The sequence below is a fragment of the Homo sapiens genome, chromosome 5 (genome assembly GCF_000001405.40).
Source record: "Homo sapiens chromosome 5, GRCh38.p14 Primary Assembly".
Lineage (NCBI taxonomy): Eukaryota > Metazoa > Chordata > Mammalia > Primates > Hominidae > Homo > Homo sapiens.
The window spans coordinates 161,535,442-161,561,285 of NC_000005.10; the positions used below are offsets into that span (position 1 = coordinate 161,535,442).

Below are 25,844 nucleotides of genomic sequence, written 5' to 3' on the forward strand. Positions count from 1 at the left end.
TTCCAAAAAAATAAGAGTAAAAACAACTATAACGAAACAAGGTCCTCATGGAATGCAAATGATCAAGAAAATGGCTTTGCTACATTTTAAAATGCAGTGTAACAAGATGGCTAAGATTGAGAGATGTGAAGGCAGTCATTTGCTAGCTATGTGACCTTGAACAAATCATTTAACCTCTCTGGGCCTCAGTTTCCCCTTTTTAAATAGGCTAATAGTGGCTGTCTCAGTTTTTATAAGAGAACTGGTTAACTTGAAGTGCATTAACACAATACCTGCACAAGTTAAAAACTCAATACAAGGTAGTGCCCTGGTTTGGATGTTTGTCCTCCCCAAACCCCATGTTGACATTTGATCCCCAGTGTGGCTCTGTTGGGAGTTTGGGCCTAATGGGAGGTGCTAAGAGTCATGGGGGCAGAGCTCTTATGGGTAGATTGATGCCTTATCTGAGGAGTAAGTTCTCATTCTATCAGTTCCACTGAGAGCTAATTATTAAAAAGAGCCTGGTACCTCCCCCTACTGGCTTCCTCTTGTACCAGGTGATGTCTCTGCACAGGAAGCCGGTTCCATGTCTGCTTCTGCCTTTAGTTGAAGCAGCCTGATGAGGACCTCACCAGATGCAGATGTTCAATCTTGAAATTTCTAGCCACCGGAATAGTGAACCAAATAAACTTCTTTTCTTTATTGACTATACAGTCTCAGGTACTCTGTTGTAGCAACACTAAATGGACTAAGACAAGTAGCTATAATTATTTCCTTATATTCATGTTATGATGATGGTGGAGAATGTTGAGCGCTGTACGAAAGTTCAGGAGGGGATGAGAGGAGAAACGGAAGGGGGATGAGAGGAGAAACCGAAGGAGGAAAAGAGGAAGGAGAAAACAACAGTTCGCCAAAATTGTGCCCAAAATTGTGTGGGCATAATTTGTTTGGAATTAAGGCTGTCTGTGGTCACAGAGTGTTCACACCTCCTTTACTCCACTTTATGCTTCCTGAGTGAACTCATTCACCTATTTTCACAGCAGCCAATTTTAACCTCCTCTGATTTCAATATAAAGTGTTTAGTATGTTCACAGAGAATATGTAAGTCTTCAGGCAAGCCTTTAGTTTCCAGTCCTGCTACCCACTTTGTATCTTCAACCTACTCCTTTCTAAAGATTGTTTCTCCACCAAACTATATATGACTCTCACTCTGTCGCCCAGGCTGGAGTGCAGTGGCACGATCTCGGCTCACTACAACCTCCGCCTCCCAGGTTCAAGCAATTCTCCCTGCCTCAGCCTCCTGAGTAGCTGGGATTACAGGCATGCACCACCACGCCCAGCTAATTTTTGTATTTTTATTAGAGACGGGGTTTTGTAATGTTTGCCAGGCTGGTCTTGAACTCCTGACCTCAGGTGATTCACCCACCTCGGCCTCCCAAAGTGCTGGGATTACAGGCGTGAGCCACCATGCCTGGGTATATATGACTTTTTAAAAGCTGTTTCCCTCTCCCTACATCCCTTCAGAACCAAACTTCTCAAAAGTGTAGTCTTCGACCACCGAAACTCCTCTTGCTACATTTCACCAGTGCGCTCCTGTTACTCTATCTGGGAGAAAATTTTCATGATTTATTTCAATTGATCACTGTGGCATCTGACGCAGCTGACTATTTGCTTCTCAAACTCAGGTTTTAAGACATGATTATCTGGAGTATCTTGTACTAACTCTCTGACTGCTACTTATTTATCTCTTCTGTGAGCTCCTTTTCTGTCTTCCACTATCTAAAATACGGGGCTCACCAGATTTCCATTTTTAGCTGTCTTTGCATTTTGCCTTTTAAATTTTATGTATTCACAAAGTTAGAAGCACCACTTATATGCTGACAATGCTCAGTTCGTCTCTCTATATAACTGCTTCCTAATTTGTACACCTATATTTTCCAATCGCCTGCTGGTTGTATCCATTTGGAGATTCCATGTGCATAGAAAAAAAAAATCACCATTTCCCAAAGTGAACTCACTATCTGCCCACATGCCTCATCCCCTTGACCTCCACTCCCCTTCCTGTCTTCCCTACATCAGTAAAGGATACTATGAGAATCATGGGATTCACCAAGTCCTGTCACTTTCATCTTATAAACACAATAATTTTATATCTTCTTTTTTTGCATTCCTGTCTTAGTTCATCACATCTTCCTGAAATTTTGCAGTAGGTTTTCAACTCATCTTCCAACGTTAAATTTTGCTCCACTTCAATCCACCCTCTACACTTCAGAACCATCTTCGATAGGTGTGAATCTGTTCATGCAATTCTATTGACACTATTTCATGGGCCCCTACAGGCTTTGGACAAATATTCAATTATTGAGCAAGACACAAAAATGGTCTTCATCTTTTGATCCCCACCTACGGCTTCAACACCAAATCTACCCTTTCCTCACTCCCACTCCAGTCTTTTAAAATGACTTCCAAATCCCTAATACCATTTATTTATCCTGTGTCACACCCTCCTCTATGTTATTCTTTCTGCTTGGAACATCTATCCACACACTTCTAACCCCCTTCTTCACCTGACTCGTTTCCATGTAATATATTAGTATATTCCCACTATGCCCTGTGTATATCCTCTTTCAAAGCACTCATGACCCCACATTGTGATTCTTTCTACACTTGTTGTTCCAAATGGTGAATGCCTGACTTTGTGCGCTATGATTCTGTGTTCTATTTCCCCACATAAATAGTACAGTGTGTAGCAAATAATAAATTACTACTATAGAAGTGAATTTTTCACTCAATACTTGTGGCATTCGCCCGGGGTCAAATATCCAAACAACCATTTGTATATAAAGCAAAACCACACTGGGAGAGACACCATAACCTTGTCGTGATGTAATTTATAAACATGATGGAGGAAGACAGAATAAATACGTAAAATATAAACCATTTGAAATACCAAATACCCAGACAAGTGACAAAATCAACAAGTGACGAAGGAACTTATAGGAGACAAAGACCATGAGGCACTTACTTGGCTGCTAAGAAAGTCTTACAGAAAAGGAAAGACGTAAGCTAGGCATAAATACAGTAAGAATCTGATGTAACTATAAGAATAGTAAACGCCTACCTGGGCGGTGGTGGCTCACGCCTATAATCCCAGCACTCTGGGAGGCCAAGGGTGGGGAAATCGCTTGAGCTCAGGAGTTTGAAACTAGCCTGGGCAACGTGGTGAAACCCCATCTCTATTAAAAATACAAAAATTAGTTGGTCATGGTGGCACGTGCCTGTAGTCCCAGCTACTCGGGAGACTGAGATGAGAGAATTGCTTGGGTCCAAGAGGTGAAGGTTGCAGTGAGCCAAGATTGTGCCACTGCACTGCCCAGGCAACAAAGCGAGACAACTGTCTCAAAAGAAAAAAAAAAAAGTAAACACCTAGATAATATATTTCATGAGGTCAGGGGATGGGTTGGTCTCATTCACTACTCTGTCCATAAGGCCTAACACATGCTTGGATCATAGTAGCTGCTAAATAAGTTTGTTGAATGAAATTTTAAACTGTGCAGCTGGTGATGCAAGAAAACATCTGTTTAAAAAACAGCAGCACTTTTCTCCATTTGCCATTCCATAAAAAGGTAATTTGTGTATGTGTTTACTAGAACTCTTTCCTCAAAAGTGAAATATTGCTTCACTCTTTGGTTGGCAAATGTGTTGTTTTAAGATGGAGAAGAATCTGCTTTAAATGAAGAGGAAGCTATTTCAGTCCATAATCCTCAGAGCCAAAATTTGAATCTTAAAATGCACTTTTCATCAAAGAATCTTAACAAAAAGATTCCTGCCAATTTAACCACGACATCTAAAAATATTTCATTCCAAGGCCAAGCTTTCTGCTCAGGAGCATTCTAATTGAGACCACATTCTTCCAAAGATCTATTGAGCTGACAGTCACCTAAGTCACATGGTTCTGACACCACCAGTAGCTTCCTCAGTAAGGACTCACAACTGCATGCCATTTAGGAGTTCTGCATTTTCCTCATGATTTTCTAGATTTTCAAATTTTCCTGGAACTTCTTTATATCCAATAGAGCTACTATAACTAGCCAAGTCAGAGAAACATGGAACTTTGAGTTGCAAGCCAAGTTAATATATCCTTTCTCAATTAAAACATGGTAAAACTGAGACTTAGTAAATTATATTGCCAACCCAAGCACACTTAAGACAGCAGCTGGAGTGGACATTGGGTCTCTTGAGTTGTCTTCATTAAGTATGTTCATAGACGACCAATAAACTTACATGAAGGCATACCACAGAAAGATACTGCTGGCTCAGTTCCAGACCACCACAATAAAGTGAATATCCCAATAAAGCGAGTCTCACAATTTTTTTGGTTTCTTAGTGCATACAGAAGTTATGTTTACACTATACTGTATCTAATAAGTGTGAAATAGCATCATGTTAAAAATGTACATACCGTAATTTTAAAATACTTTATTGCTAGAAAATACTAACAATCATCTGAGCCTTCACGGAGTAGTAATCTTTCTGCTGATAGAATGTCTTGGCTCCATGTTAATGGCTGCTGACTGAGCAGGGTTGTGGTTGCTAAACGCTGGCGTGGCTGAGACAGTTTCTTAAAATGAGACAACAATGAAGTTTGCTGTATCAGTGGACTCTTCCTTTCACAAAAGATTTCTCTGTGGCATGCTATCCTGTGTGATAGCATTTTACCCACAGCAGAAATTCTTTCAAAATTGAAGTCAAACCTCTCAAATCTGGCTGCCGCTTTATCAACTGAGTTTATGTAATATTCTAAGTCCTTTGTTGTCACTTCAACAATGTTCACAGCGTCTTCACCAAAAGTAGATTCCATCTCAAGAAACCACATTCTTTGCTCATCCTTAAGAAGCAACTTGTGCATTGAAGTTTGATCATGAGATTGCAGCAATTCAATCACATCTTCAGGCTCCACTTCTAATTCTAGTTCTCTTGCTATTTCCACCACATCTGCAGTGACTTCCTCCACTCAGGCCTTGAACACCTCAAAGTCATTCATGAGAATTGGACTCAATTTCTTCCAAACTCCTGTTAATGTTGCTATTTGAACCTCCTCTCATGAATCATGAATGTTCTTAATGGTATCTAGAATGTGAATCCTTTCCAGAAGGTTTTCAATACTTTGCCCAGATTCATCAGAGGAATCACTGCCTATGGTAACTATAGCCTTACTAATTGTACTTCTTAAATAAGACTTGAAAGTCAAAATTGCTCCTTGATTTATGGGCTACAGAATGGATGTTGTGTTAGCAAGCATGAAAACAGCATTAATCTCTTTGTACCTCTCCATCAGAGCTCATGTGTGACTAGGTGCATTGTCAATGAGCAGCCATTATTTTCTTGTTGTTTTGTTTGTTTTCTAATTGTAATCTCATTATTATTATTATTATTATTATTTTGAGACAAGTTCTCACTCTGTCACCCAGTTTGCAGTGCAGTGGTGTGATCTCAGTTCACTGCAACCTTTGCCACCCAGGTTCGAGTGATCCTCCACCTCAGCCTCCTGAGTAGCTGGGACTACAGGCACATGCCACCATGCCTAGCTAATTTTTGTATTTTTTGTAGAGACAGGGTTTCACCATGTTGCCTAGGCTGGTCTTGAATGTCTGGGCTCAAGGTATTTGCCGGCCTCAGCCTCCCAAACTGTTGGAATTACAGGCGTCAGCCATTGCACCTGGTTGAGCAGTAAGTCAGTAAGAATCTTTTTTTTTTTTTTTCTGAGCACTAAGTCTCAACAGTGGGCTTAAAATGTTCAATAAATCATGCTGTAAACAGATATGCTGTCATCTGGGCTGTGGTTTTCCATTTCTAGAGCACAGGCCGAGTAGATTTAGCATCATTCTTAAGGGACCTAGGATTTGAGACAGCATTCACTTAAGGTAACCAGCTGCATTAACACCTAACAAAAGTCAACCTGTGCCTTGAAGCTTTGAAGCCAGGCATTGACTTCTCCTCTTTAGCTATGACAGTCTTAGATGTCATCTTCTTCTGATAGAAGACTCTCTTATCTAATAAAGTCTTTTGTGCAGAATAGCCAGCCATCTTCACTGATTACCTTGCATCTTCTGCATAAATTGCTGTAGCTTCTCCATCAGCATTTGCTAATACACCTTGCACTTTTATGTTATGAAGACAGCTTGTTTCCATAAACATCCTAAAGCAGCCTCTGCTAGCTTCCAGCATTTCTTCTGCATCTCCTAAGCCTTCATAGAATCAAATACAGTTAGGGTCTTGTTCTGGTAATCTGGCTTTGTCTCTAAGGGAATGTTGTGACTAGTTTGATCTTCTATCAAGAGCACTAAAACTTTCTCCATATCATCAGTAAGCCTTTTCCATTTTCTTATCTTTCATGTGTTCACTGGACTACCACTTTCAATTTCCTTCATTGACTCCTCCTTTGCATTCAAAACTTGGCTGCTTTGAGCAAGAGACCTAGCTATCTGCCTGTCCCAGCTTTTGACACACTTTCCTCACTGATCTTAATCATTTCTAGCTTTTGATTTAAAGTGAGAGATGTGCAACTCTCATTGTAGGGCTGTGAATTGGCCCAATTTCCATATTGTTGTGTCTCAGGGAATAGGGAACCTCACAGAGAGGGAGACGGACAGGGGGATGACCCATTGGTGGAACTGTCAGAACACACACAACATTTATCCATTAAGTTTGCTGTCTTACCTCAGTGCAGTTCATGGTGCCCCCAAACAATTGCAATAGTAACATCAGAGATCACTGATCACTGATCACCACAGAAAATATAATAATAATGAAACAATTTGAAATATTGTGATAATTACCAAAATGTGACACAGAGACACAAAGTGAACACATGCTACTAGAGAAACAGGCTCATTATAGACTTGCTCATTTCAAGGTTGCCACAAACCTTCAATTTATAAAAATGCAATGTTTGCAAGGCACAATAAAGCAAGCTAGAATAAAACAAGGTATATCTATATTCTGGTATTCACCCAAGATAGGTAAAATGGGACTATTACTCCCCTTTAATGAATGAGTAAAGTGAGCCCAGTCTATCTGTGAATATCCTCAGGATGACTAAGCATCAGAAGTAGAACTCGCATCTGAGACTCCTGATTCACTTCAGGGTCTTTCTATCATTGTGATTTACAAGGAGCATCACACTGACATGGACATTTATTTGTCCAGTACAAATGAGTCAATGACAATTTAAATGGTCTGGTTCCCTACCATTCTTCAAAGAAAGACATGCTATATCATAAGAGAAAGTTACAATTACCAGAGACTGCAGTCCACAAAGGATAATGAGGGATAAATGTGTCTGTTAAATCAATTTTGAAGTTTCATTTAAGTAACCAATCAACCATTCTTTCACACCTGAAGCTAATCAAAAGGCCCTAACACTCAGACCTACATACAGGGTACAACACACCATAAACATCTGTTATTTAGACACCAGAGATGGAATTTCCCATCTGTTGCTTCAAAACAAATAATCATCTTTAAAAAATAAAACAAACATCACAAAAAAATTTCTTTGAAGATAATTTTAGGTTATTAAGGTTGGAAGCTGAAAAAAATGTTAATTTTTCAACAAGTGACAATCTAGCTGGACAAATCCATGGGTGTAGCATAAGGCTAAGTAAGGAATCTGGCTTGGAATTTTCAACACTTGGTTCTAATCATTAATGTTGCAATGTTGTCCCATTTACAACCTGATATTCATTTTTGCACTTCAACATCTCATGATTTTTCAGCAACAGTAAATAGCTTTAAGTGATGACACCTTGCCTTAACTGGATCTATATTTTGACTAGCAGGTCTTGGCATTGTTTCCACCTCAGATATCTCTCCAAAATGTTGCATGTAGGCAAAAAATGAATAGAACTTAAAGGAAAGAAAAATAAAAATTCTACCACTCTAAACAATGTTAGGATATAATACCTTTAAGTTATTAGCTAACCTACTGCAGCAACCTCTAGTCATCTCATGATTATCTCTTTGGGTTCTAAATTTTTCTTGATATGTTTCACAAAATCTCATTTTGTGATGCTCTAAAGAGGGAGGTGGTGGTAAAATAAGACTTGGGACTGAGAGAAGAGCATAAAAAAAGCAAAATGCAAAAGAGAGGAGTCTGAATCAATCACGTGTAGGATGCACAGAATCACACCTGATTTCTATATTACTTTGTTTTAAACAGCATAATTTAGATTCACATTCCTGAGACATAAGAAGGTACCCACATTAAGACATCTTTTATTTTTATGCTGAAGCTCAAAATATAAACTGATAAAAGACCTTTCAAATTCACCAAAAGTGAATATTTGTATATCTGAGAAATTAAATACTATCCCAAGAAACATTCTCTAACCACACAGATTTTCATAATGTGAGGGAAATTTTTGGTTCTGAAACATCCAATATTATCTTTAGTCTGCGTTTATATTGCATGTGATAAAAACTTTCTCTAAATTAGAATATGAGAAGATTAATGTCATTAAAACATTTCAGAAATAGCAGAATTCCCTTGCATACTCATAAGGTATAAGCACAGTATTCATTTGCTTCAGAATCTTATGAAATCTCGGGATTATCTCTTATCTTTAGACAGTGTATGAGGACTATGTTGGTTACTGAGCTTCTTCTTGTTTGAATTCTGGGAATATGGAAATTTATATAATGTTGAGAACTAATTTTCAAGTCCTGAGGGGTGGCTTAGAAATGTTTTGCATAAAAGTTTATATACTATACCCCTTTATTTAATAATTAATCCAATTTCTAGACAGAACTATGCCAAAACACAACCTTCTGAAACGTGCTGTGTACTATCAGGACTGAAAGTAACACTGGAATTCTACATTAAAATGTGGCCTATCTAGAGGGACTTCTCCAAAGCATGAGATTTTAAAAACACAGAGTAGAAAAGTCACTGGAGGAATGCCCCCAAGTATGTGGGGGCGTCTGGGACGCTTGTCATCGCATTGCATGTCTGCAGTGTTCCAATATGGGCAGCAGGGGGAGCTCCCGATTGAAGCAAACCCCCCAACACGTGTTTCCTAGTTGGGAACACAGGCTTTTTCCTCTTAACACTTGCCCCAAGTCCACGGAGGCAGCCACTAAGGAGTACTGCTGTCAATTAACTGTACAAGCTTAGGACATGTGGTGAATGAATTGCTAAAGTGAACGGGGATGACACATGGGTCTGAGCCTACCTTTTAGAAACAGGATGGCCAATTTTTATTTTGGTGGGCAGGAGGGATTAAAGCAAGCAGCAAACAATGGAGTTGGGGCAGGAATGGGGGATGGGGGCTTGCCATTAACAGTAAACAGTGATCTTTGAAAGCAACGAGTGGGCATCAGTATTCCAGGGCCTTTATTAGTTTTGTTTGTAGGCTATATTCTCCATTAAATGTCAAATCAAAACTCTCCCTTCTTCCCATGACCCCACATCAAATCCAGAAAATCACTTAATGAACTGGGTTTCTCATTGAGCCTGAGGAGATGAGGCTTCTGTAGGGGGTCTCCTGCACGTGGTTGCGTTTTACACATGAATGTGTGATGCATTTTACTCCAAGTATCTGAACCAGGTTGAAAAAATCCTTAGGGACCAGAAAGAGTCAACTCTCTAACCTCAACACAGGGTATTCTAGGGTGAAATTCCATGCTCTCACCCCCACCTCATACACATAGCCAAGCACACCCCCACCCCCAATAGCTGGCTCATTTCTCCTTCCTGTCCCCAAACGAAAGTTTGCAAAGAAGTAGTCATAAATGTCAATACTCACCATATTGACTTCAGAAACCATATCGATGCTGGCAATGTCAATGTTCATCCCCACAGCCACGGGGGGACCTGCAAAGCAAGACGGCCAGCCACGTGATTTCTTTGAACTTCATTCATTCTCAGCAAGAGTTATCCCTGAGCATAAGACACTCTGCCCAAAACCCTTCTGCACTACTCAATCTCAAATTTTTCAATTCTCTGCTTTTTTTGTTAAAAAAAAAAAAAAAAAAGGTAGCAGGCACACACTCCTCTAACAAATGCTGTATTGAATATGCACACACGTATGCTGTGAACAAGGGATTCCAGCTCTGTCTACATATGCATATGTCTCAGCATGTGAATGCACACAACTCACAGAAGCACAAGAATCCTTCTAGTCTAAGGGATTTTTATATTTTGCGCTGAAACCCCCTCCTCCTCAGTCTTTCCCACCCCCTTCTGTGCACAGGTTTTAACTCTTTGAGCTTCATAAGAGTCTGAAGCAATATTAAGTGAGTCTATCAGCATATCTAGGGCTGCAGCCAGAGAGAGATTCTTCTTTCCCCTACCTTCTCTAACCCTCCCATTTTCTCCCTACCCTCCCATCCCCCAGTCCTCCCCATTTCTGTGAGGCTGGGAGGAGTGGATTATATCCAGACATGAGCCACTGTAACCCTGGCCAGAAGAACTCTTCCAAAGTAGGCAGGCACAGGGGGTTAACGCCACCTCTCAACCAACTGCCTGCACGTCTTGTCCTAAAAAATGTTAACGGTGGCCTTCCGCAAGCCGGGTTCTCTCGGCACACCATTAACTAAACTTAAGAGGTTTGTGTCTCAACAAAGCAAAGGCAGGGAAGCAAAGGATTCATAACAGTGAAGCTGAAAGACAGCAGTCACCAAATTTGAGTACACACTAAGAGGGTCTCATTGAAAGACCACGGAAGTGGTGGGTAGCAATAATCCAGCTTAAGTTTTGATCAGTTTCTCAATATGGTAAAATAGAGACACATTCAGGACACCACATGCACCCACAACTAGGGAGAGGGAAGAGAGCGCGCACAAAGCTCAAAAGACAGCTTCGGCTGTGGCTGGACTTATTTGCAAGGCAACCCCATTACCTCCAAAATCTGGTCTCAGACGAATGTCATAGCCTTTCAGGAGTCTATCCACCGTCTCTTTAACCAGCGACATATTACTAGGGTCATTGACACTAAAGAAAGAAATGACAATAAGCAGGCATCAATAAGGAAGCAGGCATAGCGTTTTCAGCATCGGATCCCTACTACATTTCCCTGCTCACAGAGGTATGCAGACAGAACCCTTCAAAGTGAGAACGGAAAAGAGAAACGCTGGGCACACTTACCTCTGCGCACAGACAGCGGCGATTATTAAGGGGAAGGACCAAATCCCAAAGTAGCCCCTTTTCCGCACTCTCCACATCCCTTTAGTTTTTGATGGAATTGAGGGTTTCACTGAAGAGAGGAGATCCAACTTAGTCTGCCCAGTGCAGTAATTCTAATGTGAGGCGCATGCGCACGGCGTACCAAAACATCAAAGGGGAAGCGGCGGCTGCCGGGGACCGAGCAGATTTCCTTGTTTAAAAAAAAAAAAAAAAATTAAAAGGGAAAAAGGAAAAACATGTATATGTATAATACATACATATTTGAATAATATAGAAAAGTCACCCCACAGCAGCATCCAGAATAAAATTTTTGTTGTTATCCTTTCGTTAAGACAAAATAACTACAGCGTCTGGTAAGTTTCGGTAGTTGCAAGAGGCAGTTTTGCACCGAGCGGGTTGTGGGTTTTTGGTGTGTGTGTGTGTCCTTTTAAATATGCAAAACCAGATTAGAAAATTAGAGGAGAGCAGGTGTGGCGTGCCAGCGGAAGATAGGTGCCGGTAAGCCCACTTCTGGTCTCAGCCGGACACGGGGCAAGGAGTTTGAACTTTATTTCCTTGGCAAATAGCATGCCCTGCCTGGGGCGAGACTGGGATGGGGGGGGCGGGGGTTGTGCAGCGGGTGGGAGGAGGGGGGAGGGGGCGTTGGGAGTCGAAGCGGGAGGGAGGGAAAAAACCAATGGGAGGAATGCTGAGCAACCCGTTGGATTTGGGGCGGGGGGTTGGGGAGGCGGGTACAGAATAAGAAAGGCACGGAAAAATAAAAAAGGAAGAAAGAGAAAGAAAAGAATAAAATAATGGCTGGTCTCTTCTAGTAGTCAAAGAGCAAGCTTTTCTTCACTACTCACGAGCGATTTCTTTCTCCTCTCCTCACCCTTTGCCCCCTATTCCCAGAGAAGAAAACCTCGGGGTCCTGTTTTCTCGCCGTGTGACGTTCCTGACCCGCTAGTCCGGGTTATTTATAGCAGGAGGGGAGGGGGGCGAGGGGAGCAGAAAGGCAATGCTGTCTCTCCAGGTTTCGGTCTGATTCTGCAGTGGGAATTATTAGTGGGCAGGGTGGGGTTTGCATGAGGGGGAGATGGGACGTGGAGGCGTGAGGGATGCGGGTGACGGGCGCCCTAGCGCAGGTGCGGGGGACTGGAGGGCGTGGGCGACCGCACAGAGCAGGAAGGGCAGGTGGCCGGGTGGGACGCGCCCCGGCCGGTCCCCCAGCGCCCCCTCCGCTGCGCGCACCCGCGCGCACACACGTGCAGGCGCACTCCCCACCCGCCGCCATCCCTCCTTACCTCGCAGGCCCGCGCTCGCCGCCCACTCCCGCGGCGTGCGGAGCTGGCGCCCCCGGCCCCTCGTCCGGGACAGGGGACGGGGACTCCCGGCTGTTCAGGGGCTGTACCTCTGGATACAAGAAGCCGGAGCGGTCCCTAGAAGGCAGGCAAAATGAGGAAGAGCCCCTCACCTCCGGAGGCACTGTGTTCTCCCGCGGTCTCCGCGCCACCTCGTCCTCTTCTTCCCTTCCCCGCGCCCAGGGGACTCGCACACCCAGAGGCTGCCTCTTCCCTTCCTCCTGAAGCTCAGGCCGCCTCGCCGTGGCCGCCGGGACCCGGAGGAGGCAGCAAGCTTGGGGTGGGGAAATTGGGGGAGGGAGATACTCAATTCACAAAAGAAGTCTTCCCTCCGCTCCAGGGAAAGAGAGGAGCCACGGGCGGCGTGAGGTGCTACGAGTCTGGGGACACAAGGCCGTCCGAAGGAACCGGAGTCCACACCAGCGGCTCTCCGGGTACTCCTGAGTTTATCTTGGAACTGGGGAAGAGGCGGGAAGAGTAGACGTTCCCGCTACCCCTCCCCCAACCCCACCCTGGGTGAAGAACTGGAAAGGCCAGAGCTCAAATCTCTATTCTGGACCCCAATGCTTAGCCTCTCACTGCTGCTGCCAATCATGGTCACTATTAAGTGAGTTCCTACTTCGTGCCAGAGCGCTGCATTCATTAATTCTGACAACAGTTCTAGCGTTTAGCTATCACTTCAGTGTCCCCATTTTATAGATTCAGAAATTGTCTCACTGAAGTCAAGAAGCTCGCCCAAGGTCACTCAGATGGCATGAGGTGAAACCAGGATTGGACTTCAGAGCCAGCGTTCCTAACCACTGAACTAGACAGCCTACACTCCGAAGTCTCCTGAGTCAGCGACCTTGCCCGCTGCCAGCGCTTTGCTGTGGCGGGTCAAGCTCCTGGCGCCCGAGGAGCCCGCGGCGGCTGCGGGTGGAGTTGAGCGCGGACCGCACGAGCTAGACCCGGCCGGTGTCTGCGGAGAGGAGGGGTCGCCGGCCCGCAGAGTTGGCGGCAGGCGGCGGAAGTAGCTCCACAGGCTTGCGACCCCGGCAGCCCTGGGGGCTCCTCAGGGTCCTGTTCCGTGCTGCACTCTTGACCCACTTACCTTCTGATAACCTTTCCCCTCCCCCACCTTGGTCAGAGGGTCATCTGGGGGTAGTTTGTGGGGATGACTCCGGGGGAAGTGTGGAGGCGGGAGGGCTTTAAAAGGGGGGAATCCGACAGCTCCTCTGGGATGGATGATAAACAGGAAAAGAAAGCCGAGTTCCTTCACCGACCAAGGGAGTTTCTAGGTTAGGAACAGGTAAAGCCCAGCACCATGAACATACTGCTGATCTACCGCGCGGCGCTCTATAGACTCCCAGGCTCATAGGAGCCCATCCAAAGACGCGCGCTTACTCACACACACGCACACACACATACACACGAGGGTGGGGGAGGAAGGTCTGTAAGTCTCCCATCTGCAGTTACTTGGGTTTAGCGTTACCTCAGAATGTAGAACTATAGCCAAGGAAAACTGCTGATTTTCCTTTCTCTTTACTCCTATACACAGTGAGAATCTTTTGCACCAGCTGAGTAGAATGATGGGTAGGGGGAGGATCGGGGTTGGGGGGGTGGTTAGGGCATTATCAGCATGATGTCCAGAAGATTCCTAAAGCAGTTTAGTCTCAAGTAACAAAATGATGAAGTCCTAAAATGCTCCCCTTCCCCTCGAACCTCTAACACATCTCAAAATAGGGTTTTCCTTCTGACCCTCAGTTACCCACGTTTTTCTTTCTGCACCATCAGCCCCTTCTACCTAGGCTCGCTTCAGTGTAAGTTGAGAGAACAAAATTCAGTAGACAGAACAAACCACAAATACTGTCACCCATCTATAATGATAATAATAATAATAATAATGGCCCAGGGAATGATGAAACAAGTATATATTAAAGGTCTACTATATACAGAAAGTTAAGAAAGAGAGGGGCAAAGAGTTAAAATAGCTTGCATGTCAGCAAGTAAAATTGTGTAGTGTAAACTGAGAGCATAAAAGAACCGGAGGTAAATCTTTGGGTTCAAAACCCAGGTCAAATACTTAGTAACTTTGTAACTCAGGCAAGTCATTTAACCTCTAAGCCTTAGTTTCCTCTTCTGGAAAACTGAGAAGGAAAAGAATACCCTCTCCACTGGATTGCTCTAGAATGAGGTACATATAGGTGTAGTATTTGGCTGTGATTAATAAATATTAGTAATCTTTTAATGAATAAGCCATAATGAATGTACAGGAAAACAAACAAGGTTTAGTGTCACTCAGCTATACAAACTGAGTAGATATAGATTTGGTGCCATTATTATTATTATTTAAATATACTTTAAGTTATGGGATACCTGTGCAGAACTTGCAGGTTTGTTACATAGGTATACACGTGCCGCGGTGGTTTGCTGCACCCATCAACCGGTCATCTACATTACGTATTTCTCCTAATGCTATCCCTCCCGTAGCCCCTCACCCCCCAACAGGCTCTGGTGTGTGATGTTCCCCTCCCTGTGTCCATGTGTTTTCATTGTTGAACTTCCACTTATGAGTGAGAACATGTGGTGTTTGGTTTTCTGTTCCTGTGTTAGTTTGCTGAAAATGATGGTTTCCAGCTTCATCCATGTCCCTGCAAAGAACATGAACTCATCCGTTTTTATGGCTGCATAGTATTCCATGGTGTATATGTGCCACATTTTCTTTATCCAGTCTATCGTTGATGGGCATTTGGGTGGGTTCCAAGTCTTTGCTATTGTGAATAGTGCTGCAATAAACATACATGTGCATGTGTCTTTATAGTAGAATGGTTTATAATCCTTTGGGTATATACCCAGTAATGGGATGGCTGGGTCAAATGGTATTTCTGGTTCTAGATCCTTGAGGAATCACCACCCTGTCTTCCACAATGGTTGAACTAATTTACACTTCCACCAACAGTATAAAAGCATTCCTATTCCTCCACATCCTCTCCAGCATCTGTTGTTTTCTGACTTTTTAATGATCGCCATTCTAACTGGCGTGAGATGGTGTCTCATTGTGGTTTTGATTTGCATTTCTCTAATGACCAGTGATGATGAGCTTTTTTTTGTATGTTTGTTGGCTACATAAATGTCTTCTTTTGATAAGTGTCTGTTTATATTCTTTGCCTACTTTTTGATGGGGTTGTTTGATTTTCCCTTGTAAATCTGTTTAAATTCCTTGTTGATTCTGGATATTAGCCCTTTGTCAGATGGACAGATTGCAAAAATTTTCTCCCATTCTGTAGGTTGCCTGTTCACTCTGATGATAGTTTCTTTTGCTGTTCAGAAGCTCTTTAGTTTAATTAGATACCATTTGTCATTTTTCACATTTGTTGCCATTGCTTTTAGTATTTTAGTCATGAAGGCTTTGCCCATGACTATGTCCTGAATGGTAATGCCTGGGTTTTCCTCTAGGGTTTTTATGATCTTAGGTCTTACATGTAAGTCTTTAATCCATCTCGAGTTAATTTTTGTATAAGGTGTAAGGAAGGGGTCCAGTTTCAGTTTTCTGCATATGGCTAGCCAGTTTTCACAACACCATTTATTAAATAGGGAATCCTTTCCTTATTGCTTGTTTTTGTCAGATTTGTCAAAGATCAGATGGTTGTAGATGTGTGGCATTATTTCTGAGGCTTCTGTTCTGTTCTATTTGTCTGTATACCTATTTTGGCACCAGTACCATGCTGTTTTGGTTACTGTAGACTTGTAGTATAGTTTGAAGTCAGGTAGCATGATGCCTCCAGCTTTGTTCTTTTTGTTTAGGAATGTCTTGGCTATACAGGCTCTTTTTTGGTTCCCATTGAAATTTAAAGTGGTTTTTTTTCTAATTGTGTGAAGAAATCAATGGTAGCTTGGTGGGCATAACACTGAATCTATAAATTACTCTGGGTAGTATGGCCATTTTCACCATATTGATTCATCTTATCCATGGGCATGAAATGTTTTTCCATTTGTTTGTATCCTCTCTTATTTCCTTTCGCAGTGGTTTGTAGTTCTCCTTGAAGAGGTCCTTCACATCCCTTGTAAGTTGTATTTCTAGGTATTTTATTCTCTTTGCAGCAATTGTGAATGGGAGTTCACTCATGATTTTGCTCTCCGTCTATTATTGGTGTATAGGAATGCTTGTGATTTTTGCAGATTGATTTTGTTTCCTGAGACTTTGCTGAAGTTGCTTATCAGCTTAAGGAGATTTGGGGCCAAGACAATGGGATTTTCTAAATAGACAATCATGTCATCTGCAAACAGAGACCATTTGACTTCCTCTCTTCCTATTTGAATACCCTTTATTTCTTTGTCTTGCTTGATTGGTGCCATTATTATAAGTCAGCCTGAGAATAAAGGAGCAGATATTTCATGGGAATTAAGGAAGGGTGAAGAAGAAGAGGTATTAAAAATCCAAGCAGCAATCAAACAGAGAAAAGATTAAAGAATATGCATTCTCTATGCAATAACATCTCAGGGATATCCCTTACCAACAACAGTAACTAATATAATTAAAAATACATTTCTGGCTGGGCGTGGTGGCTCATGCCTGTAATCCCAGCACTTTGGGAGGCTGAGAAGGGTGGATCACAAGGTCAGGAGACCAGACCATCCTGGCTAACATGGTGAAACCCCGTCTGTACTAAAACTACAAAAAAAATTAGCCGGGCATGGTGGCACGTGCCTATAGTCCCAGCTACTCCAGAGCCTGAGGCAGGAGAATGGCTTGAACCCGGGTGGCGGAGATTGTAGTGAGCCAAGATCACGCCACTGCACTCCAGCCTGGTGAAAGAGTGAGACTCCGTCTCAAAAACAAACAAAAAAACATTTTGACTAGTTACAAAGCTAAGGTCAACTTATGCCTAAAGTGAGTCTCAGTCATACAACAGGAGCAACACTGGCCATCTATCTGGACGACTTTGCTGACAATACTGCCTCAGAAGATGCAAAATGAGAACAATAACGTGGAATCTGGAGATGTGTTAGTTGCTGAAGAGTATCCTCCACGATCCCAAATGTAGAATGAGAAGGCAAAATGTAAGTACTCTTAACAGGCCATATTTCAAAATCATCTCAGTATGAAACATATAAATACAAGTTTAAAAAGTCACCAACCATCTTCCATTAGTCTTTAATGTAATATGGAAACATTATTCAGTAAATATGTAGCAGGCTTCTAATCTTTTTTTTAATTTTATTATTATTATATTTTGAGTTTTAGGGTACATGTGCACAATGTGCAGGTTAGTTACATATGTATACCTGTGCCATGTTGGTGTGCTGCACCCATTAACTCGTCATTTAGGATTAGGCATATCTCCTAATGCTATCCCTCCCCGCTCCCCCCACCCCACAACAGTCCCCGGTGTGTGATGTTCCCCTTCCTGTGTCCATGTGTTCTCATTGTTCAATTCCCACCTATGAGTGAGAACATGCGGTGTTTGGTTTTTTTGTCCTTGTGATAGTTTGCTGAGAATCATGGTTTCCAGTTTCACCCATGTCCCTACAAAGGACATGAACTCATCATTTTTTAAGGCTGCATAGTATTCCATGGTGTATATGTGCCACATTTTCTTAATCCAGTCTATCGTTGTTGGACATTTGGGTTGGTTCCAAGTCTTTGCTATTGTGAATAGTGCTGCAATAAACATAGGTGTGCATGTGTCTTTATAGCAGCATGATTTATAATCCTTTGGGTATATACCCAGTAATGGGATGGCTGGGTCAAATGGTATTTCTAGTTCTAGATCCCTGCGGAATTGCCACACCGATTTCCACAGTGGTTGAACCAGTTTACAGTCCCACCAACAGTGTAAAAGTGTTCCTATTTCTCCACATCCTCTCCAGCACCTGTTGTTTCCTGACTTTTTAATGATCGCCATTCTAACTGGTGTGAGATGGTATCTCATTGTGGTTTTGATTTCAAAATTGTTTTACAAGTACTGGGGGATGGTCTGCGGAAAAAGCAAACATGTGGTCCTTATCCTCTTGGATTTTACACTGTAGTGTAGGAAGGAGCCAAGAGCCATCATGGAATTTATTATATGTATAACATGTAAACTGGGAAAGATAGGAGATTGTGGAATTCATAATTGGTGCAGATAACTCAATTTGAGGATTTGGGAAAAGCTTTTTTCTGATGAAGTCATGCTTCAGTGGAAATTTCAAAGCTATGCTAGCCTGATGAAAGATTGTGGGAAGAAAGTTCCAGACAGAGGAAATAGTATGTACAAATATCTTGAGTCAAGAGAGGATAGTATGAATGAAGAATGAAGGAAGAACAGTCAGACTAGAGGACAAGGGCAAGAGTGGCTGTTGACACAGTTGAAAATTACAGACCAGGATAGGTTGAAGCAGAGGGGTGACAGGATGAGTTTTAATCACACTGGAGGAAGATGATAATGGCTGTAGGGGATCTGTTAGGAAGCTATTGCAAGAATCCAGGTGAGAGGTGATGTTGGTCTGAACTATAATAGTGACAGTGAAGATGAAGAGAAGTGACCATAGTCATGCGGAGGAAGTGGCTAAACTTTGTGACAAATGTAATGTGGAGAATGAGGGGAAAGAAGAATTCAAGCATGACTCATACATTTCTGGCTTGAGGAACTCAGTGGTGGTGGCAGAAGAAAGTTGATGAGGGTGATACATTTAGTTTGGGTCATGTTGAGTTTGGGGTACCTGATAGCCATCCAAGGTACACTAGACATTTTGATAAATGCACCTAAAGCTCAGCACCAAGGGCTGGGCTGGGGCCAGTGCAAAATCTCCATGCTCCATCTTGACAGTATATTTCCCTTTCTTTATTTAAATTTTCTCTGTATAATTCATAACTGTGTAATCATAACCGTATTTTACCCATTTTATATCCATCTTCCTTCATGGAAAGAAAGTTTTAAAAAATTGTGTTTTTTGTTGGCTTGGTCATTGTTGTATCCCAGTAACTAGTTCCCATAGTAGGCATCTAACAGGTATGTTTTGAATGAATGAGTATATGTGTGATGATCCTGAAGATGTAATCCACTTATATTATGAAAGTGTATGAAGAATGAACAGAGTGGGAAGACTGGAATGCCGAGAAGATAAACTTCTGGTAAAGGACAGTTGCAGCCACCAGAAGGGTCAAATTAACATTGACACAGAAGGTAGAAAGAAAATGAGTGCAGTGTGATCACAGCCAAGGAAACAGAATATTCTGATAAAGGATGGACTAGTCAACTGTATTAAATCATTTACAAAGATTTTGCATTTTAGAGCAGGTATTGCAGTTTATAGTACACAGTTCAAAAGTAAGTCACTCTGTCCTTCTGCCACCATGATCCTTTTTCTAAAAACTAACACAGTTCATTTTCTGGGAGGAATAGTAATGAGATAGTTCATATCATAGCATTTCATCTGTTAACAAACAGGTATGAAATATGTCCACAGGTGCCAGGTAGCCCTCTCTGCCTTACTCCTGCTGGTGAAGCAGCAGAATGATGATTTTGAAGAAGGTTCTCATGGAATGTGTATTACCTGTTTTGCCTAATCATTTAAACTTTTGAATTCATAATTCTTTAAATAAATGAATGAAAGATCTCTTAGCTCTGAATATTGATTGGGGTCTTTTGAAATAGTGTGCAGAAATTTCAGTAATATTGAAGGGTAGGAAGAAAGTCAGAAATAACATGTAGAAAGAAAATATATGCCTAATACTGTCAGCATATACAATAGCACAGACTTTCCAATTACTAATAAATTCTCAAATATATGGCTTTCTGAGCCTATGTAATATACATATAAGAACTCTTTTATACAACCTTTTCATGTATCTTATATATAAATGTAGTTTTATTTATTTTATGTACTAAATTGTATGTCTATAGTAGTTTAAATTTTATTAAATATTTTTCCCTTATGCTCATCAAAAATGCCCTTTATTTATTTGTCTGGCAAGCCTTGCCTTCATAGGTACTAGAAAATAAATTTCTCCTAAATTACCATAAATTCCATATTATGGGTTTATGACTTAATGAGATTTTACTGTGCAGAATTAGAAATGCAAATCACATGTCTACTGAGTCCACTTTCTCCTTCAGCAGGTATAACTAATGCTATACATGAGTTTCTGTAAAACTATCAGCCATATTAACCCTTATGACATAGAAATCAATTTAGATTATTTAACCAAAAATATAATATTAATAATAAAATAAGACCAATGTGTCACTGTTCCAAATCCTGTCTCTATTGTAACTTATTTAATCCTTACAATATACCTGTAAAAATGTTCATCATTTTTAACCCCATTTTGTATGTGAGGAAACAGCAGCAAAAATTAATCGCTCTAAGATCACACAGTTAATTTTTTAAAAAGTTAAAGGGCTCAGGCCCTTCCTGACAACTATGTGACTTTGTAAGTGAAACTCCTGTAGATTTGTCTACTGTACATTCTCAGCTTGTCTCATTCACTGAGTTAATATAATAGAAACAAAACCTCAGCCCAGTCAGAGGATCTCTGCACTTTAACAATCAAATGACTAATAGGAAATTTTGAGAATTGAGTTTCTGGGCATCTTTTAAAGGAGGACTACATCAGATTAATCGATCTTCAAGAGCATAGAAAGAAAAGTATGCCTCGGAGTACAAAATGAAATTAGTGATGCTTCCAATGGAGGTAAAATTGTTATATGAGGAAATTACCTAAGCTCTGACACCGTGGGGATGCTAATTATATTCACATACTGTCTTGGCAGAAATAAAGCACCACATCCTTTATGCTAGAAAAGGATAAAATGGGAAGGAAACCCTTTTTTACCAACTGCTATTCAAAGTCCCAAGCAGGGAGAAGAGGTATGCCTTATCAATGAGCAAAACTGATGTACAAACAAGAACATTAAAAAGTCTGAGCAATAATTTCTCAAAATCCCTATCAGGTTGGTTTCTTAGGGATGGCCATTGACAGATAGCCAAAAATAGCTAATCCAATGTGTAAAATGGGGTTTTCCCAAATGTGGGTCATGCATCTCAAAGGCCTTTCCCAGTGCTCCTTTACCAGAACTGTGTATCCACTTATATACCATAGTTAGGGATCCTAAGGTTAATAAGTCTTTTGCAGCTCTACCAAAACTCTTGAAATTCTAAAAAATGTACATAATGACTCTAAATTTAAAAAATAATTTAATGTTGAAATTAATATTTAATTAAATGTCTATAACATGTAATACCATGCCTATAATTATACATGATTATATTCAACATAGGAAATATAAACTTTAATCTGCTTTGTATTATGTGTCAAGGGTTCTCCACGACTTAAAGAACTTGGGCATATGATGGTTTTTCAAAGCTCCAGGTAGCTACAGCCTCAGGCAGACTTAATCACTTTCAAATTCTATGCATCTAAAGCCAATTGCAGTATTCTGTTCTTTTTTTTCCCTTAAATCCTTTTTCAAGGCATTCCATTGCTAATTCTACAAGAAACAAGACTGTATTTTACTTTTGTTTTTATTATCCAATGTATTATACTCAGCACACTTACTTAACTTGTATTAGCACTTGTAAGTTATAATTACAATTATTATTTTTGTTAATACTTATGTAGTGCTGACTTACTAGCTTGTTTGCTCTTTGATGAACAACATTAATTCATTATTCATTTAAGTCTTTCAAGCTTATGTGTAGTGCTTTTGGGGTTGTAAGTGACAGAAACCAAGCGTAAACTATCTCAGACAAGTGAATTTTAGGTCATGTAGCTGAAACCGTCAAGGATGAGCAGCATTGAGGACAGGTGGATTCAGGGGCTTAAGCTATTTTATTTCTCAATTCCATTTTATGAAAATTGGCCATATTCTTAGGTGGGGTCTCTTGTCAAAATAACAAGGAAGCAGTTACTCCACTTTAGCAACCCTGAGATTAACAATTTGGTAACACCAAAATTGCAAGATAAAATACTGTGTGAAGGCTTGGATCATAGACCTATATTCAACCAATCATTTGCTCTGATCAGTGGTCTTGTGCCCACCTCTGGTCCTGAAGCTGGAGTAAACCATATCTAAACCATGTGGACCATGGGTTGTTGAGGAATGAGAACCCAAAGAAGGATCCTTAACATATTGTTTCTACAAAGAGGAGGAATGGATCCGGAGCAGGCAAAAGTCAAAGATGTCTACTATGGGCAGAATAGGTGTCATTAGTAACCACATCTTTTCGATAAATCAGTTGTGGCATAGGGACTTGAATATGGCTAAAAGAGAGACCCAAATTCACCACATCCATCTTACATGAATGTCCTTGTAACTGTCCTGTAAAGATGAATGAATGAACAAATACATAAATCTAGGACATCTGGGATCTCATATTTATGTCAATTATGGTTGACTGCTACTTACATTTTAGAAATTTGCATAGTCATGTGTGAAACAATCACCTCGAAATTGTTTGAAGATAGTCATGGTATAACTGGATGCATATAAGTAAATACATGCAGGAATTGATATAAAAATTTAGTAAAATTATAAGCAAGAATGGCTAGGGATAGAAGGTCCTAAAAATTCATTATTTGAGTAACTGAGAACTACTAGTAAAAAATTATAATGTTAGTATTAAATAATTGCATTAACTTCACTTCTACATAGTAAAACTTGATTAATATTTGTTGAATAAATAAACATTTGAATGAATAAATTCCTCAAAAACCTTTTTGGCTGCCTGATATGGTTTGGCTGTGGCTTCACCCAAAATTTCATCTTGAATTGTAATTTGCATAATCCCCATAATCTCCATGTGTCAAGGGAGAGACCAGGTAGAGGTAATTGAATTGTGGGGCCAGTTTCACCCATGCTGTTCTTGTGGTAGTGCATGAGTTCTCAGGAGATCTGATTGTTTTATAAGTGTTTGTGTTCATTTCTTATTCCTACTGTCTTGTGAAGTGGGGGCCTTGTTTCACCCTCACCTTCCCCCATGATTGTAAGTTTCCTGAGGCCTCCTTAGCCATACTGAACTGTGAGTCAATTAAGCTTCTTTCTTTTATAAATTACGCAGTATCAAGGAGTTCTTTATAGCAGTGTGAAAATGAACTAAAATATTGCCTAAGCATTTAAATATGCCCATGCTAATAATCATAAACAGTTTCTAAAATTTTTGTTGACATATGATTTACCTTAATAATAAAAATGTATTATTGTATATAGTATTTAAAATATATGTCATTGTGGATAGAAAATTACCTTCCTAGCCAGGCACAGTGGCTCACGCCTGTAATCCCAGCATTTTGGGAGGCCAAGGTGGGCAGATCACGAGGTCAGGAGTTCGAGACCAGCCTGACCAACATGGTGAAATCCCATCTCTACTGAAAATACAAAAATTAGCCGGGCATGGTGGCGGGTGCCTGTAGTCCCAGCTACTCAGGAGGCTGAGGCAGGAGAATTGCTTGAACCCGGGACATGGAGGTTGCAGTGAGCCGAGATCTGAGATCATGCCACTGCACTCCAGCCTGGGTGACAGAGCGAGACACTGTCTCAAAAAAAGAAAAAAAAAAGAAAGAAAGAAAAAGAAAAAGAAAAAAGAAAATGACCTTCCCTGATACTTATATTCTAACCTCTCTACAGTTTTTTAATTCTCAGAAAACACTATGAGTTATATTCTAATGTTATCTTCATTTCACAATATTCTGAAATTGTCAAAGGTTTTGTGATTAAGAAAAGCGTCTTTTCAGAAACAGAAGAATGGAGAAGAACTAGTCAAAGTCTGTCAGAGTGAAGATTTTCTTTAATTGGAAACCTAATGAGTAGGTGATAATAACCATTGTTTTCTTTCATTTGTTTTAGCATAGTTATCTCATAATAGAAACGGCATGAAGACATTTTTTGTTCCTAGTTCCTGAGAAGATTAATTTGGTTCTAGCTTCAAATAAGATGATTAAGGGCTGTGAGTGGAAGTGTTCCTACTAAGGGTGTGGTATGTGGTGGTGTAGAGCAAAGTCATAGCTCTGTAAGATAAAGTCTTTTGCAGGAAAGAAAGTCCAACAACCAATTCCACTGATGTTTATTTTTTAAAATGTAATTTCTTTTAATGTGAGCTCAGAATTAAGTGATTGGCTTTTGGAACCAGTGATGCATCAACAAGAACCAATGAGTACTTTGGGGATTTGGTATGTTCCAACCATGCATTTTATCCAGAATTGGGCGTGTGGATTGTTCAGGAGATGATTTTGTATATTACATGGACATGTGTTGTAAATTTACGGAAAATAGATGAAGTAGTAATGCAGTTGGTACTTGGGTGTGACAAAAATAATGCAGGTGGTATGCCAACATTTGGGAATTGTTGACTAAACAAATTAGGAAAGAACTATCTGCCAAATTTCTGTAAGAGAAATTCTCATACTTTAAGCTGAAGTGAGGAACTTCCAACTCTTAAGTGTCTGTGGTTATTAGAAGTCCCTAGTGTGGGTGATCAGCAGCCATGAGATGTGAGGTGAATATGAACATCATCAGACAACAAGGTCACCTTTTTGACACAGGGATCAAAATCTAATTCAGGAATTCAGTGAATATACAGACCCTCTGTGTATGTGGACATGTTCTGCAGGGAACAAACAGATGAATTTACAATATTATTCCCCTCAAGAAGCTTACAGGGGGAGGGGGAGGAAGAATGGCAAAATGATTACAATTACTCTAAGCAGCAGAATAGTAATGTCACAAGAAACAAAGGAAGAAGGGAAACTGGCTGGGAGTAAATGGGAAAGCCTTTACTGAAAACATGCTGCTTGAAGTGGACCTCGAAGGATGGCCAAGATATTATTGCAGTTTTTAGTGGATGATGGGAAGTTTGAAATAAATTTTTGCATAGATGTAGCATCTAGCTAAAGTACAAAATTGGCCAAGTTGTGAAGATCCTTGATATCAGGATAAGGATTTTAAATGATGTAGATAGATGTAGGGTACTCTGGGATCTAGTCCTCCTTCCATCCTTCATCAGCAATGTTATAGTTGCCACATCATTTTTATCAGGGATCAGCTGACTTGTTATGATAACAAGTATCAGGCTTTGCAGGATACTCTGATCCACAGTAGTATTATGAAAGCAGCCATAGAAAAACAATAAAGGTGAGTCATGATTTAATAGGAGTAATAGAAAAGGTTAAAAATAAAGGAAAAACACAGTAAAATTTTTATCCAGAAAGAAATAAACAACCAAACTAGCAGTTTATCATGTTACACAAATAGGCACTAGTAATCTGAGAGGGTCTTTTATGTCACCTCCATTTTTAAAGGGGCATGAGAGTATTTGAAAAGAATGGCATGACATCATAGATCATTTTAATCTTAGTGTGAAGTTGAGCTGACTAGAGGAAA

General features: G+C 40.7%; 1 protein-coding gene across 3 annotated transcripts in view; it reads right to left on the reverse strand.

The window, feature by feature from the left end:
• Positions 1-12,963, reverse strand: part of GABRB2 (gamma-aminobutyric acid type A receptor subunit beta2) — a 259,969-nt gene extending 247,006 nt beyond the window's left edge. For 2 of the 3 annotated variants that reach the window (NM_000813.3, NM_021911.3), the window contains exons 1-4: positions 12,618-12,963; positions 11,126-11,354; positions 10,881-10,972; positions 9,786-9,853 (exon numbers count right to left, since the gene is read on the reverse strand). In NM_000813.3, the coding sequence (NP_000804.1) occupies positions 9,786-9,853; positions 10,881-10,972; positions 11,126-11,202 (237 nt within the window). In that variant the 5' untranslated portion in view covers positions 11,203-11,354; positions 12,618-12,963. Of the gene's footprint in view, positions 1-9,785; positions 9,854-10,880; positions 10,973-11,125; positions 11,355-12,617 lie in introns of those variants that run through there. The other variant, NM_001371727.1, reaches the window with a different exon arrangement.